The sequence below is a fragment of the Homo sapiens genome, chromosome 3, assembly GCF_000001405.40.
Source record: "Homo sapiens chromosome 3, GRCh38.p14 Primary Assembly".
Taxonomy (NCBI): domain Eukaryota; kingdom Metazoa; phylum Chordata; class Mammalia; order Primates; family Hominidae; genus Homo; species Homo sapiens.
The window spans coordinates 12,990,923-13,006,639 of record NC_000003.12 but is presented as its reverse complement, the minus strand read 5'-3'; the positions used below and the strand labels follow the sequence as shown (position 1 = coordinate 13,006,639).

The following is a 15,717-nucleotide window of genomic DNA, read 5'->3' as shown; positions in this document are numbered from 1 at the left end:
TGTGTAACAAACTACACAGAACATAGTGTCTTAAAACACGTGATTGTGTGTTTGGAAGATCTGGGCAGTTGTGCTGGTTGCCCTTGGCTATGCTCAGCTGGGCTGGAAGTTCCAAGAAGGCCCCACTCCCATGTCTGCCAGTGGATGCTGGCTGGCGGCCAGGCAGCTCAGGCCCCTCCATGTGCCCCCACCACAATGGTAGACCAGCCTCCTCACATGGGGGTCCCCTTAGTTCCCTCCACATGGCCCCCACAATGGCAGACAAGCCTCTCACACCGGGGTCCCTTCAGTTCCCTCCACGTGCCCCAATCACACCTTCCACATGGCATCTGAGGCTGCACTTCTAGAATGAACCAGAAGCCGTGAGGCCTCTTGAGGCACAGCCATCACCTCTGCCACCTTCTCCTGAAAGGAAAGTCGTATGCCCAAGGGGAGGGGAAGTAGCCCCCAGCTCAGGTGGGAGGAGGGGGCTACCCAGGAGAGGCCTGGGTACCAGGATGGGAGGAATTTGTGGTCATATTTGGCAATCACAAGATATGTATCATTAGGATTTTGCTGGGCTGTTATTTCACACAGGTTGGGGTGAGGGGAGTAAGCTCTAAAGTCATTATATACAAAGTCAAAAAGTTACTATCATAAAATTCCCCTTGAAGAGCCCTTAAGTTGCTCATATCAGACAGAGTACCTGGTTTTGTGTGCACTGCTCTGGGCAGTGGCACTCTGTGTGCTGTGATGTGTGCAGATGCCTGGACCGGACCAGGGAGGGAGCTGAGGCTTGTCCAGACACTGCAGCCTTTGCTCTGCAAGGGGGACCCTCAAATCCTTGCTGAGAAGGGAGGGGGAGCTAAGCTGGCTGGCTCACCTTCAGGGCCATTTCCATTCCCCGTCCCTACGAAGCCTCCAGAGCCAGGCTGCCCAGAGCAGTAGCCACCAGCTATAGGTGGCTATTTAAATGTTCACTGATTAAAATTCACAAAATGAAAAACTCAGTCTCCATCACCCCAGCCACATCCTGAGTGCTCAGTGGCCACACAGCTAGCAGGTGGAGAGCTGGGCTCAAAGCCCTCAGCCAGCCCAGCCTGCTGTGAATGTCAGCCCCCTTGTCCAGGCGCCTCCTGCCTGCCTGCCTCCGTGGTCACCCAGCTACGTGCTGACTGCCCAGGACTCCTGAGAGACTCAGCCTTGGCCCAGCTGCTGCCTTGGAGGACTGCTGGTCTGCTGGGGGCAGGCAGGCCAGTAACACTGGGGTGCCTGGCTCTGGGCCCCCAGATCCCCTCATCTTCCAGAGCCCTGCAGAGCAGGGAGCCCTGGGCTGCGGTCTCCACCCGAGGTCCAGCAGTACAGGCCTCATCCTCTGATCCTTCCCCCACACCGTGAAGTATGGGAACTCCATTTGCACTCCCGGGCTTTTCAAGTAAAGGGAAGAGACCTGTTTATCATCAGAAATTATGAGACACCCCCTGCCCCCATGCCATATTAACCCCACACACAAGGGTTAATATCCAAGATTGAAAAACTACAGGATGACAGGAAGCTGTTAAGAACCAATTTTTAGATAACTTTGGAGTCTGTGAATTTTATTTATCAAAGCAGCTTCTATTTTGGTTTGAAAGATGTTCACGTGTGAAACATAGTATTTGTTTGGTCTACCAGCAGTGTTGGCTGCACATACGGGATGAGAGATCCCCTAAAATAATTCAGGGGTTCCCAGCTTGGGAATCCGTGTAACCTCCAGGAGCTGGAGTCCCTGAGCAGCTCCCAGGAGTCAAGGGCTTACTGGTGGAGGTGGAGGCTACCTCGTGGATATTTGCGTGGCCAGCACTGTGGCTGGCCCGATGCTGGGTTTTTGGTGGGAGGTGAATTAGCCTCCCCCCTTGATAATGCTTCCCTCCATCCCTGCAGCCCCTCACCTGGACAGCCCCCAGCCACCCTCCCTCCCACCTACTCTTGCTGATTCCGTTCTGAGCTTTGCTGGTGGAAAGTGGCCCTGCATAGATGCCCTGTCCCTGCTCTGGGCCTTTCGAAGCCTGTGGGCCCCAGCGGTCAAAAGCTCTTTGCTGTGTGGAGACAGTTTGACTTCCTTATAATCCAAGGAGAGGGAGGAGGGAGGCGGGGAGAGTGCACAGAGGTGATTCAGACACAAATCCCTGCCCTCCAAGGCTCCAGATCTGGTGGGAGGCTGGGGCCTGGGTGTAGCTGAGGGGTTTCCACATCGGCTTCCCCCTCCTGCAGAGCGCTCCCCCGGCCCCCAGCTGCATCTCAACACCTGAGGGCAGGGATTTGATCATCTCTGCTTCACAGCTGATTACCCTTGCACATGATGGCACCCAGGAAATATTTGTTGGGTAAATGACTGAATGAATGCAAGCTATGGCATATACAGACACATGCTCTCACCCTACCCTCTGGCTGTGTCTTTGTCTTCTCTTTGGGGTGCAACAGACATGATGAGCAGGGGCACCCTCTCTAGGAACTCTGTTCACAACTAGCTCAGGGCTTTTTCTCCATTCAGGGTCTATAGATTTATTCAAGGTCCCAACAATAATTTTTTAAATGTGTGGATTCTTTAAGAGTTGTAAGTTATTTTGAAGTGATTTCAATCTTAAAGAAGAGTTACAACAATAATACAAAACAAAATTCTCCCGTGTACCATTCACCCAGACTCATCACTAATAACATTCCACCAAATTTTGCTTTCTCTTAAAAACCGATTTTTCCCTTAGAAGCATTTGAGATGTCACTGCAAACATGCCATATGTAACTTTCACCCCTAAATACTGCTCCAGTACATAATTACTAAGAACAAGGACATTCTCTTACATAACCATGGTCCATTAGTCAAATTCAGGAAGTTTAACATGGACATGATACTAGGATCTAAAATACAACTAACTTAAAAGTCACATTTCGCCTGTTGTCCCAGTAATGTCCTTTTTACCAAGCTTTCCTCCCAACCTAGGATCTTATGTTTCATTTAGTCATCACGTGTTTTCTTAAAGCTTTATTGAGGGATACTTTACTCTATGAAATTCACTCATTTTAAGTGTACAATTCGGTTATTATTACTATATTTACAGAATCCTGTAACCATCACAATTTTATTTTTAATCGTTTCCATGGCCCTGAAAATAAACCACATACCCATTTTCCCTCAGTCCCTTGTGCCATCCCAAGTCCTCAACAACCACTTTTTGTCTCTGTAGATATGTCTTTCTGAGCATTTCATATCCTTTTGGAATCATACAACACGTGTCCTTTTGTGTCTAGCTTTATTCACTTAGCGTGAAGTTTTTCAAGGTTCATCCATGTTATAGAATAGAATGTATCAGTACTTCATTCCTTTTTTTTTTTTTTTTTTTTTTTGGTAGAGACAGGGGTCTCACTTTGTTGCCCAGGCTGTTCTTGAACTCCTGGCCTCATGTGACACTCCCGCCTCAGCCTCCCAAAATGTTGGGCATGAGCCACTGCGCCTGGTCTTTCATTCCTTTTTACTGCTGAATAATAACATTCCATTGTATGGATACACTGTAGTTAGTTTATCCATTCCCCGGTTGATGGACATGTGGGTCATTTCCACTTTTTGGCTATTGTAAATACTACTACTATGGATATTTGCATACAAGATTTGATGTGGACATATGTTTTCATTTCTCTTTAGTAGATACCTAGAAGTGGAATTGCTGGGTCACATAGTAACTCTCTGTTTAACTTTTTAGAAATGGCCAAACTGTTTTCCAAAGTGGCTGCATCTTTTTGTTCCCACCAGTGGTGTGTGAGGGTTTCCATTTCTCCACATCCTGTCCCACATTTGTTATTGTCTGGCTTTTTGCTTCTAGCTGTCCTAGTGGGTGGGAAGTCATATCTCATTGTGGTTTTGATTTGCATTTCTTTGATGTGGAACATCTTTTCATGTGCTTATTGGCCATTCATATGTCTCCTTTGATGAAATGTGTATTCAAACCTTTTGCCCATTTAAAAATTGTATTGTCTCCTTGTTATTGAGTCATGAGTTATTTGCATACTCTACATACAGGTTCCAGTATCAGTTATATAATTTTCTCAGTTTCTCAGTTCCTTTTTTTTTTTTTTTTTGGAGATCAGGTCTCACTCACTCACCCAGGCTGGAATACAATGGCATGATCATGGCTCCCTACAGTCTCGAACTCCTGGGCTCAGGCAATCCTTCTGCCTCTGCCTCCCAAAGTGCTGAGATTACAGGCATGAGCCTATGCAGGGCCTTATCTTTTTACTTTCTTGATGGTGTCTTTTGAAGTGCAAAAGTTTTTAATTTTCATGAAGTCCAATTTATGAATTTGTAATTCTCTTGCTTATGCTTTTGGTGTTGTATCTAAGAAATCATTGTATAACCCAAGGTCACAAAGATTTCTTCTTATGTTTTTGTCTAAGATTTTTATAGTTTTAACTCTTTCATTTAGGTCTTTGATTAATTTGAGTTAATTTTTGTGTATGGTGGGAAGCATGGGCCCAAATGTATCCTTTTGTGTATAAATAGCCAGTTGTCTCAGCACTACTTGTTTTTTGTTGTTGTTGTTTGTTTGTTTGTTTCCAGATGGAGTCTTGTTCTGTCACCCAGGCTAGAGCACAGTGCCTAGATCTCAGCTCACTGCAACCTCTGCCACCCCCCACCCTGCCTCCGGGTTCAAGTGATTCTCCTGCCTCAGCCTCTGGAGTAGCTGAGATTACAGGTGCACACCACCACGCCTGGCTGATTTTTGTATTTTTAGTAGAGATGGGTTTTCACCTTGTTGGCCAGACTGGTCTGGAACTCCTGACCTCAGGTGATCCGCCCGCCTCAGCCTCCCAAAGTGCTGGGATTACAGGCGTGAGCCATCGCGCTCGGCCAGCACTACTTGTTAAAGAAATGATTGTTTCCAATGAATTGTCTTGGCACCTTGTAAAAAATCATTTGACAATATTTATTATTATTTTTGACCACTCCAGCTAAGGCCAAGACAATACATTTTTAAACATCATTTTCGTGAAGACGAAAACTCCTCCCCCATTTTAACAAAAGCATGCTGCAGGTCATCTGGACGACCCTCTACCAACTGAGCTCTGCTCCCTGATGTTCGTGGCTGCCTTTTCTTTATGAACATGTGGTCATCACAGGACCTTCCAGTGTAGCAGCGTTTACCACTGGATGCAGTGTTTCTAAAAGGTGGGGCCTGATGGAGCTTGGGAACTGTATTCTTAGAGGCCCATCAGTTCTTAAGTTTGAGAAACCCCTAATATAGAGCCATTTCTCAGACGGGAGAGCAGAGTTCCAGATAGGGAACATGAAATGTCCAACCTCATGCATCTATCAAGTGCCCACAAGCCAGCACAGGCAGTGTGGGGTAATGATAAGAACTCACTTAGGATCGGGCATGGTGGCTCATGCCTGTAATCCCAACACTTTGGGAGACTGAGGTGGGCGGATCACTTGAGGCCAGGAGTTCGAGACCAGCCTGGCCAACATGGTGAAACCCCATCTCTACTAAAAATAAAAAAATTTAAAAAAAAAGCTGGGCATTGTGGCAAGCACCTGTAATCCCAGCTACTTGGGAGGCCTGAGGCAGGAGAATTGCTTGAACCCAGGAGGTAGAGGTTGCAGGGAGCCAAAGTCGAGCCACTGTACTCCAGCCTGAGTGACAGCACACGCCTCTGTCTCAAAAAAAAAAAAAAAAAAAAGACTCACTTGGGTAAGTCACTCCCCATTCCTGAGCCTCTGTTTTCTCACCTGTAAAATGGAGGGCACACCACCCATCTCAAAGAATCTGCAGGAATAGAGATAGTTTGGATAAAGTATCTGGCACAGTGCTCTCTGACACAAAGTGGGTACCAGTTCATGGAAGTTGTGTTTATTGCAAGCCTGGGGCTGTGCCCACCAACTGGCCCTCCTTCAGCCCTCCCCTCCACAGTGCCTACTCTCCCCAGCAGGGCAGCCCTTGAGGGCTGGCTCCTGGCTTCAGCCTTCCCTCTGCTGCATATACCTCACCTGTCTGCTTACAGGGCATGGCTCTGTAGCAGGCCCTGTGCTCGTCCTAGTAAAGCAGTGATGAAGCAGACTCTATTCCTGCTTTCAGGGACCTTCTGGGCAGGTGGACAGAACCATTAGCTGATGACCACAGAACAGCATGGTAGCTGTTATTTTTATTAATAATAGCTAACATCTATAGAATTTCTGCTCTGTACCTGGCCCCACTGTCTCAAGATGTACAGGACACTGTGGGAGCCAAGAAGATGACGTCTAGAGGAGGTGACATTTTTAGAGCTGGATTTAAAGGATGGGTTTGGACTTCAGCTAATATACAAAGAGACATGAGCTTTCTATGAATTTTTGCCCATTTGATGGATGAAAATGAGATTATCATTTGATTTGTGTTTCTGTGTAAGGTCGTACATCTTTTTGAATGTTTACAGGCCATTTGTATTTCTTTTTCACTGAACTACCTGGTCAAATTGATTGGACATTTTTATTTTGAGTTGTTCATTTTTTTTGTTTTTGATTGATTTGGAATAACTCTTTATATATGGAGGAAACCAAGGGAATAGTATGTGCTAATACACAATGATATGAAATAGTACAGTGTGCTTGAAAAGCATTAGGTTTAGCCTAATTTTGAGAGACATAGTTGAAGATAGAGCTAAGCAGGGAGGCAAATGCTAGTTCCTAAGGAGCTTGGACTTTATTACACAGGACATAGGAGCTACAGAAGCGTTTAGAGCAGGGAAGGGATGTGATCGAATGTGTATTGTTGAAAATTACTTTGATAAGGGACAATAATGGACAGAGTGAAGAGCTAGAAGGGACAAATTGAGGCCAGAAAGTACAGGAGCTTGAATGTCCCCTGAAGAGTGTCTACCTGGTTTGGTGGGCAGTAGGGAGTCACAGAAGGTTCTGGGTAATGACCGATGGTGAACTGCAGAGACAATGGGAACTGAGAGTTGCCTGCTATACTTCCTGCTTTGTGGACAGCTATAAAGTGCAGGGGGCGGGACGGAGGCCAAGGCTAATCTCTGGGTGGGGTGAGCGGTTTTGTTTCCCAACATGACGCTTTGTTCCCCTAGATGTCCCCGCCCCACGTGGGCGCCCAGTGCTGTGTCATCTGTCCCCACACCACAGGACTGACCTCCAACCCAGACAGACGAGACCATTGCCAGGGGTAACCTAGAGAGGAAATATGAACTAAGAGTTTCCAGGCAGGGCACTGGGAATGGGAGAATGAAGAAGGAACAGCACACTGCCGAGCTGGGAGGGATTTTAGAAGTCATGCAAGGCAGTTTACCCTCAGCCCTGCTCCCATGAGCCCAAGGACAGGGAGTCCCTACCTCCCCAGCAGCCATTCCATATCTAAGTGGCTCTTCCAGGGAGAAGGTTCTGGAGCTGGTATGGCATCAGAGTTGTAAGGAGTCTTAGTACTCGTCTTATGCTTCTTGATAGAGGGGACCTTGAGGCTCAGAAGGGACACCTGCCTTCCTGAAGTCACACGGGGAGTCATCCTGAGTGCCACAGCAGGCTCTTAGAAATCAGGCTTCTCAGCTCCCCACTCAGAAATTAGTTTTAAACATAATATTTTACAAACAGTAATACATGCATGTAGTAATACATGCAAAAAATACTTAAATGAAACATTTCAGTGAAAAGCCAGTCTCCTTTCCACTCCATCCCCCAGGGCACGAAGACGTCTAGGGGGGCAAAGCTTCATGTTGGGAAACAAAACCACTCAACCTACCCAGAGATCAGCCTTGGCCTTGATCCTGCCCCCCGACCCCCCACTTTATAGCTGCCCACAAAGCAGGAAGTGTAGCAGGCAGCTCTCCATCCCCACTGTCTCCACAGTTCACCCTCGGTCATCACCCAGAACCTTCCCCAGGGCATGGCAACATGGCAAAACCATGTACCAGTTTCTTGAGCATCTTTGTCAGAGACAACATATGCAGGTACCAGCAGATATTCTATACCCCCTCTTTTTTTTTAATTCCAGATTTTTATTTTTATTTAAAAAAAATTTTTTTAAGAGGGACCCTTGCTACATTAACCCAGGCTGCTCTTGAACTCTTGGCCTCAAGTGATCCTCCCACTTCATCGTCCTGAGCAGCTGGGATTACAGGTAAGAGTTGCCACACCTGGCTTACTCCCTCTTTCTTACATAAAAAGTAACATACCCTACATCCTTTATTGCACCTACCAAAATATCTTGGGGATTGTTCCTTATCATATCAGTCCATGTAGAGATGCCACTTTTTTGTTGTTGTTTTTGTCTTGTTTTGTTGTTTGTTTTTTTTGAGACAGGGTCTCACTCTGTCACCCAGGCTGGAGTGCAGTGGAGTGATCACAGCTTAGTGCAGCCTCAGTCTCCCCTGGTTCAGGTGATCCTCCCACTTCAGCCTCCTAAGTAGCTAGGATTACAGGCACATGCCACCACACCCAGCTAATTTTTGTGTTTTTAGTAGAGACGGTGTTTTGCCATGTTGCCTAGGCTGATCTTGAACTCCTAGCCTCAAGTGATCCACCTGCCTTGGCCTCCCAAAGTGCTGGAATTACAGGTATGAGCCACTGTGCCTGGCCGTAGAGCTGCCACATTCTTTTTGATGGCTGCATAGGCTTCCATCATATGGATGTGTCTTAATTATAATCTGTTTAACAAATCCCTCACTGGTGGACTTTAAGGAACAAGAATACTTCAATAATTTTTATTCACTTTAAAAACATTTATAGTAATGTGCATTATGACATTTCGGTCAATGACACACCACATATATGATGGTGGTCCCATAAGATGATAATACCATATTTTTACCGTACCTTTTCTATGTTATGTTTAGATACACAAATATCTACTACCTGGTCAAATTAATTGGACATTTTTATTTTGAGTTGTTCATGTTTTTTTCTTATTGATTTGGAATAACTGTATATGGAGGAAACCAAGGGAATAATTGTGATTAAGTGCCTGCAGTGTTCAGTACAGTCATATGCTGAACAGGTTTGTAGCCTAGGAGGACTAGGCCATACCATATAGCCTAGGTGTGTAGTAGGCTGTGCCATCTAGGTTGTGTAAGAACACTCTATGAGGTTTCACAATGATGAAATCACCTAAGGACACATTTCTCAGAATGTATCCCCATCATTAAGCACTGCAAACCTGATTGTTTAAATATAAAGACATGTCAAGAAGAGACTTCAATTGGCCCATCAGCTTGTGCCCAGATAACCCCTGTTGACCTTTTAAAAATCAATTATTACAAAAAAGTATAAAATGAAAAGTAAAAGCGCCTCACATATCCATTCCATGCACCCCTCAGTCCTCCCAAAAGGTATCCATCAATAAGAGTTTTTTTGTTTCGGCATATTTGTGTCCTTTGGGAAAATTAGGAAATTCCCACACACATCTACATAGAGCCTTTTAACTTGTACACAAAAGGATCATGATATACAGTCTTCTGTTCCTTGAATTTTTCAGTAGAAATATGACCTGGAGATCTGTCCATCCTAGGACAAAGTCCCAGTAATGGGTATCTTAATGAAGTTACTCCCTCTCCTACTGCTGGACCCTGAAGATGGCTCTTTTCTTTCGCTGTTTACTGGTACACACAGTGCTGTGTTGTCTGTCCTTGTATTTTTATATTAGCATGCTGTAGTAGCTTCGCCATACCCTTCCCGATTGGTTGCACCATCTGGCACCTCACCCTACAGCATTTTTGAGAGTGCTCATTTCTTCCCACCTTTAGCAGCAAAAGTATTAGCAAACTTATTCGTTTTTGCCAACTTGGTAGATTAAAAAATGGCAACCATGTTGTGTTTTGATTTGTATTTCTTTAATATACATTTAATTACAAGTGAGATTGAAGATCTTTCCATGAGCTGCTTGTTCATATCCTTTGCTCTTTTTTCTAATGGGTTAGTCATCTTTTTCCTATCGATTTGAAAGACCTGTTTATGTATTAGAGAAATTAACTTTCATTGCATTTTCCTCAATTAAATTCTGTCATATGTGCTGCAGCAGACATTTTTTTTCAGTTTACCATTTGTCTTTTTTACTTTGTTTATGGTATTTTGATTCCATTTACATAGTTTTAATTTTTATGCAGTTAAGTGTTCGACATCTTCCTTCACGGCTCCTGGGAATGAAAATATTTACACAGTGCATTTTGTGCAGGCTTTCCACACATTATCATAGTTAATTCTCACAGCAGCCTTGGAAGCGAGGCAGGGTGGGAATTTTTAGCTTCAGTTCCATTTTAAGGATGAGTTCAAATGAGTCTCAGAAAAGTCGTGGGACTTGCCCAGGTCCAACAGATTCTAAAACCTTTGTCATTCTCACTTCCTCACCTGCCTTCCAACCAGCCAGGTGACCTACTCCTGGCACTGACAACAAAAGTATATGGCTTCTCAGGGACTGCATTTTTAAATATTAAAACTACAAGCATCTTATCTTCCCTTAACTGCTCTTTAAAAAAAAAAAGTGTTTTTAAGAGACAAAGTCTTGCTCTGTTGCCCAGGCTGGAGTGCAGTGGTGCAATGATAGCTCGCAATAACCTTGAACTCCTGGGCTTAAGCAATCCTCTTGCCTCAGCCTCCCGAGTAGCTGGAGCACTACCATGCCTGGTTAATTTATTTTTGAGATGGAGTCTCGCTGTGTTGCCCAGGCTGGCCTCAAAACTCTTGGCTTCAAGTGATCCTTCCACCTCAGCCTCCCAAAGCACTGGGATTACAGGCATGAGCCACCACACCTAGCCCTTAAAAATATTTTTTAAACCTCCAATAATATGGAAGGGTAGAATATGCAGTGGGGATGGGACTCACATTTCAGCCCACAAGCCCATTCCCAGGGGATCCACTGTACAGTTGGCTGTGAGCACTGATAAGAAGCCATGGGCTTAACTCTTGCCACGAGGCAGGAAGACCCACCAGGAGCTGGGCCGTTCCTTATTCGTCTCTGTCACCAGTGCCTTGGGTATTCTAGGGACAACTTAGATGCTCAATAAATTCTGCAAGAGTGGGGAGTGGGGCAGTCAGGCACACTGCTTAGACGCTACAGCTTCGCAGGTGGGTGTTCAAATCCCAGCTCACCCCTTAGCTGCTGTGTGAATGTGGGCAGATGACTTTACCTCTCTGCCTCGGTGTCCTTGTCTGTAAAATTGGGATACTAGTTTCTGCCTCAAGTAAATGAATAATCCTCCTCCAGTGCTGAACAGTGTCTACATCTCACTTCTGATCCGTCTGTGCCTTTCTGGATCCATTTGCCCATTCTCACCTGACCCAGATGTCCAGGGTCATGAGATGTCAGAGGTAAAAATCAGGGTCCCTCCTTCTGTCCTTTCCTCCCAGAAGTCCAGAGGGGGAAACGTCTTGCCCAAGGTCACACAGCCCCTCGTGGCAGGACCCACAGAGCCGGGTCTCCTGACTCATGACATCACTCGCTCAGCTTCTCTGGCTGGGCCCTGGCGGCCCCGTCCCTCCGGTCTCCGGTCTCGCCGCCTCCGGGCACCAGGGGGCGCCTCGTCCCAATCGCAGCCCGCCACCTGACGCCCTCGCTCCAGACCGGCGGGGTTCCGGCTGCGGGAGAGAGGCCGCCGCTCCCGGCCCGGCGTTCAGGGCTTCCGGGGCAGGTCTGCTCTGCGACCCACCAGGGAGGGCACTCGCGCGTCCTCGCTTTCTCCTTAGGTGCACCCCCGCGGGCGCGCTCCCGCCCATATCCCTTCCAGGCCCAGCCTCTGCTATCTGCGCCACTTCTTCCCCGTCTTTGGGCTCCCTTCCGATTGTGCCCACCCCATTCTCTGTAACAGTCGCCAGGCCACCAGGGCCCGTCCCAGCATCTAAATCGAGGTCGGCTGAGGGATGGGGGCGGCACCGGCAGGCCCAGGTCCCCACCCCGTCCCCAAACAGTCAGGAGGGTGTGTCCTGGAGGGGACGCGGAGGAGCGTGGTGCAGCTGTGCGCCTCTGGGCCAGTGGCTTCCCTGCTGTGGGCCTCAGTGTTCCCATCTGCGAACTGGGGACGGCGGCGGGGGTGGGGCGTTTCGGCCGGGGCTGCAGCTTTCCCTCGGAGGAGCCGGGGGACTTGGCCTGAGGTGCGTTTGTTCGCTGTTTATTGGGGGTCTGGGGTAGTCTGAGGGAAATGCCGGGGGTCGCAGTGCCCCCGGTTCCGCGCCTGGACCCCGCGTACCCCGCTCTCCTGACCCATCCGCTGCAGCGGCTGCACCGACCTGAGCGCCCTCCACTCGTCCAGGCTCGGGTGACGTCGGCGGCCGGGGCGGCACCGTCCTCCCCGCCCCCTAGCACAGCCGCGCACGCACACACACCTTCCGAGGGGGGAAACTGAGGCCAGGCGCGGCGAGGCCACCCGCCAAGGTCACGGCGCACGGGCGGTGGGGCGGGCAGGAGGGCGGCGCGCGGGGAGGCCGCCCCGCCGGTGGCGCTGGTATCGGGCTCGGGCTCCGGCTCCGGCTCCCGAGCGCCCGCCCCCGCCCCCCCGCGCCCGGCCACCGGACGCTCTGGGGCCGCGCCGGCCGCGGGGACGGCGCGCTCTCGGCGGCTGCGGGCGGACCCGCGAGGTAGGAGGCGGGCCGGCGGGGGACGCGCCCGGCGACCGGTGCGGTGCGGGGCCCCGGGCGGGGGTCGCTGGGGCTGCAGCCGGGAATGCCCTCCGCGGGGCGGCCTGGGCGGCAGCTCCGCCCCCGGGGCCGCGGTTGCACCGACACGCAGTTGGCTCTCGGGAACCTGGGGCGCGCGGGGATCGCGGCGGGCTTCGCGGAGCGGGTCTCGGAAGGAGGTTGCGAGGCCGCAGTTGCTAAGCCCGCACCGGCCGCAGGGTTGTGGGGTTGGGGATCAGCGGCCGCCAAGCTCACGGGAATGGGGGCCGGGGCGCGCCAGCGCCAGTCTTTCTGAGCTGGGCTCTGCGGTGTCGCTCTCTGGGACTGGAGCGGTGAGGACGCAGAAGCCCCAACCTCCGCGGCTATGCAGACGGCTTATCCCGAAGCCTTGCGAACGCTAAAGGCGCGATATTGGGGGTCGGGGAGGGGCGGGGTGCTCCATCTCTTCATCAGTGCAGTTGGTTGCCTCCCCGAAGCGGGGGTACGTGAATCCAGACCCCGAGGGTCGCCATGCAAAGCATTCCCCACCCCCCGACTCCGCACTACCCTGCTTCTCTTCCCCACCCCCACCCCGCCTCCACCACCGCTGCTGCCTCCGGGCGGAGAAATCCCGCCACCGCGTCCAGGGTCCCGAGCCTGCGAGCGGGAGGTTGAGGCATCTCAGGAATTCGCTGGGAGCCACACGGACGCGCCTTGGGAGGGAGGGAGAAGCTTTGGCAGGGCTGGAGGGCTGGGTCCAACCTGGCCCTGTCCCTGCCTCCCAACCCCGTGTGACCTTGGGCAGCCCCTCCTGCCATTACCACGTGGGGAAGAGACTGGTTCTCAGTCTTGGGGTGGAGGGAGCTCTCCCGGTAGACCTCCAGGAGAGTTGGCTTAGGGAGCAGTCTTGGGGACCAGAACAGCCTTGGCGACCTCTGGACCCTGACCCATAGGGGGCAGGTGGCAGCAGGGGGATGAGGTGTAATGGGGGCTGTTGTTGGAAACCTGTCCCACCTGCCAGCCTGAGGATGAGACACTCCTGGGCCAGGGTCTTAGAGTGTGGGACCCCCGCCCCCACCGCAACCTCCCGCTACAAAACCACCTGCCCTTGGGCTCTAAGCAGGCAGGGTGGGTTGGCAGAGGTGAGTCAAGCTTCTCCCCACCCCTAATAGTCCTGGGGAACTTCCCCTCCCATGTTTCTGCCAGGCAGTTGTCACTTTAAATTGCCAAGCTCTCAACTGTCACAGCTGATCTGTTCCTGGAGCAAAGGGAGCAGAAAGGTGACAGTGGGTGTCCCCTCCCCCTGGCCTTGTCCAGGAGATGAGGCTCACAAGGACAGCAGTCGGCTCTGCCTGGTCAGCTTTGTGAGTGTTGCTCTGAGCATGCCCAGTGATCTGTGGTGGTGAGGGACCTGTCCTAGACTGGGAGCAGGGGTCTGGTTGTGCACTTTGATGAGCCACCGTTTCATTTTGTGGTCAGGCTCCACCAGGCAGTGGACACATTGGCCTGTGCAGCCCCCTCTGAACAATTCTGAATTAAGGTGACACAGGAATAGCTTTCTCGTCACCCTCCCCTGCCCCCAGTATGATGCCCACCTCCTCATTACAGTTGGCAAGATGGCCAGGCTGCTGAAGCCATGTGCAATTAGAGCCCAGAAACCAGATTTAAGGGGAAAGAAGAGAAATTGCCTTAGCGGTGCCATCTCCTCCCACCCCCCACCCCCCACAGGAAAAGATAAACTGAGAGGTGACTTGGGGTGGCCACAATGCCCACAGCCCAGCCATTAAGCATCAGTGCCGGAGGGAGCATCCCGGAGCCACCCTACTGTGTTAGAGATGGAGAACTGAGGCCAGAGAGAGGCAGGGACATGTCCAAGGTCACACAGCGTATTCAGAGCCGAGGGGCCCTGTCCCCAGCTCTCCAGCAACCCAGTCATCCTGAGAGGGCTGCTTCCTGGGGAATGCTCGGAGGACTCGGTGTCCCCTCAGAGGTCTCTGCAGTGGAGGGACAAGGGAGGGGGCCTGTGCTCACCTCTGCAGGGGACTGTCTCCTGCACGGTTTGCAAACATTAGGTAATCTTGGGTCTCATGACTGGAGTTGCCACTCTCTTTCAAGGCTGCTTAAAGGGCCCATGGCAGCCCGCCCTTCCAGCCGCTGCTCTGACCAACCTGCCCTGCCCTGCCTGTCCCATGCCTGCTGTCCCCACACCACCACCCTTGGTTTTAGTCATGCTCCCTTCCCCCATTGTCCAGAGGGGAGTGCTGAGGCCACACCAGAAGAACTGCGACCATTTGTGTCCTCAGCTTTCCTGCACACAGTTTCAGCCATTGGTATAAGGGGTGGACCTAAGCACCTAAGTGTCCCCAGCCAAGAATACAGCCATCCTTTGTTCTTGTAGGAAGCTGCCCATCACTGGGCTGTGCAAGCTGGAGCTGCCTTTGTGCTGGTCAGGGAGTCTGAATCTGGCCTCTGGTAGGAGAGTTGACCAGAGCCCTCATCACTCCCCCTGCCCCTCATAATTAGGCAGGTGGGGAGTGGGGGGCTGCTCATTCCTATCAAGAGGTGTTTCTCACGTGCAAGAGGCTGGCAAAAGCCCATTCTGTTGGTGAGGTCCGTGTAGACTGGGGTCCCACGCACTGCCGCATCTCAGATCAGCATTCATTACCACCATGCAGTGAGATGCAAACCTGCTTGTGGGAGCAGCATTTTCTGGAGCCCCCTGCCTTTCCACTGGGCCCCCGCCTCGCCCTGCTTTGGCTCCTGCGGGAAGGAACACCCCACCCCTGCCATCTGGCAAACTCCGTTCATCCTTCATCACCCTCATCCATGATACCTCTTTGGCAAATCCTGCCCTGAGTCCCTGAATCTTCCCCGCGGGGATACCATTATCACTGAACAGAAGGGCGATGCAAAGCAGGGCGCAGGTAGGGACTGACTTTAGACCCCTGGTAATATACCAGTCTTCCAGACTCCCTCTCACCCCCTGCCTCGGGGCTATTCAGTGGGGCCATCATAGCAAGCGTCAGTTTGGAAAAGCAGGAAGCAGGCTGCTAAATTCTCAGTGACTTAGAGAACTGTGACTCAGAGAACTGTGTATGTGGCTTTCTAATCCAGCAGGATTGCAGTGCAAACCCAGCGAG

General features: G+C 50.6%; 1 protein-coding gene across 24 annotated transcripts in view, besides 10 other annotated features; it reads left to right on the top strand.

The window, feature by feature from the left end:
* IQSEC1 (IQ motif and Sec7 domain ArfGEF 1) overlaps window positions 1-15,717 on the top strand; it is a 386,215-nt gene that overhangs the window by 276,618 nt on the left and 93,880 nt on the right. For 2 of the 24 annotated variants that reach the window (XM_047449361.1, XM_011534312.3), the window contains exon 1: window positions 11,546-11,616. The exons of 20 other annotated variants lie outside the window; for them this stretch is intronic. The gene's annotated coding sequence lies outside the window, so the exon portion shown is untranslated. Of the gene's footprint in view, window positions 1-11,545; window positions 11,617-11,663; window positions 12,077-15,717 lie in introns of those variants that run through there. 2 more of the 24 variants (XM_047449345.1, XM_047449359.1) reach the window with 2 other exon arrangements.
* Window positions 5,117-5,411: a silencer, noted in NCBI's record as "tiled region #4746; HepG2 Repressive non-DNase unmatched - State 23:Low, and K562 Repressive DNase matched - State 5:Enh". NCBI's record gives its function as "represses a minimal TATA promoter and a strong SV40 promoter by Sharpr-MPRA in HepG2 and K562 cells {active_cell/tissue: HepG2 | K562}" and the evidence as "EXISTENCE:reporter gene assay evidence [ECO:0000049][PMID:27701403]".
* Window positions 11,341-11,899: an enhancer, noted in NCBI's record as "H3K27ac-H3K4me1 hESC enhancer chr3:13036241-13036799 (GRCh37/hg19 assembly coordinates)". NCBI's record gives its function as "activates a minimal SCP1, AML or CMV promoter by ChIP-STARR-seq in naive H9 embryonic stem cells {active_cell/tissue: H9 hESC(naive)}" and the evidence as "EXISTENCE:reporter gene assay evidence [ECO:0000049][PMID:30033119]".
* Window positions 11,391-11,660: a silencer, noted in NCBI's record as "silent region_14079". NCBI's record gives its function as "represses an Ori minimal core promoter by ATAC-STARR-seq in GM12878 lymphoblastoid cells {active_cell/tissue: GM12878}" and the evidence as "EXISTENCE:reporter gene assay evidence [ECO:0000049][PMID:35858748]".
* Window positions 11,951-12,020: an enhancer, noted in NCBI's record as "active region_19463". NCBI's record gives its function as "activates an Ori minimal core promoter by ATAC-STARR-seq in GM12878 lymphoblastoid cells {active_cell/tissue: GM12878}" and the evidence as "EXISTENCE:reporter gene assay evidence [ECO:0000049][PMID:35858748]".
* Window positions 12,311-12,360: a silencer, noted in NCBI's record as "silent region_14078". NCBI's record gives its function as "represses an Ori minimal core promoter by ATAC-STARR-seq in GM12878 lymphoblastoid cells {active_cell/tissue: GM12878}" and the evidence as "EXISTENCE:reporter gene assay evidence [ECO:0000049][PMID:35858748]".
* Window positions 12,381-12,540: a silencer, noted in NCBI's record as "silent region_14077". NCBI's record gives its function as "represses an Ori minimal core promoter by ATAC-STARR-seq in GM12878 lymphoblastoid cells {active_cell/tissue: GM12878}" and the evidence as "EXISTENCE:reporter gene assay evidence [ECO:0000049][PMID:35858748]".
* Window positions 12,381-13,017: a biological region, named in NCBI's record as "H3K27ac-H3K4me1 hESC enhancer GRCh37_chr3:13035123-13035681".
* Window positions 12,459-13,017: an enhancer, noted in NCBI's record as "H3K27ac-H3K4me1 hESC enhancer chr3:13035123-13035681 (GRCh37/hg19 assembly coordinates)". NCBI's record gives its function as "activates a minimal SCP1, AML or CMV promoter by ChIP-STARR-seq in naive H9 embryonic stem cells {active_cell/tissue: H9 hESC(naive)}" and the evidence as "EXISTENCE:reporter gene assay evidence [ECO:0000049][PMID:30033119]".
* Window positions 14,417-14,711: an enhancer, noted in NCBI's record as "tiled region #2966; HepG2 Activating DNase matched - State 8:EnhW". NCBI's record gives its function as "activates a minimal TATA promoter and a strong SV40 promoter by Sharpr-MPRA in HepG2 cells {active_cell/tissue: HepG2}" and the evidence as "EXISTENCE:reporter gene assay evidence [ECO:0000049][PMID:27701403]".
* Window positions 14,417-14,711: a silencer, noted in NCBI's record as "tiled region #2966; K562 Repressive non-DNase unmatched - State 14:Gen5'". NCBI's record gives its function as "represses a minimal TATA promoter and a strong SV40 promoter by Sharpr-MPRA in K562 cells {active_cell/tissue: K562}" and the evidence as "EXISTENCE:reporter gene assay evidence [ECO:0000049][PMID:27701403]".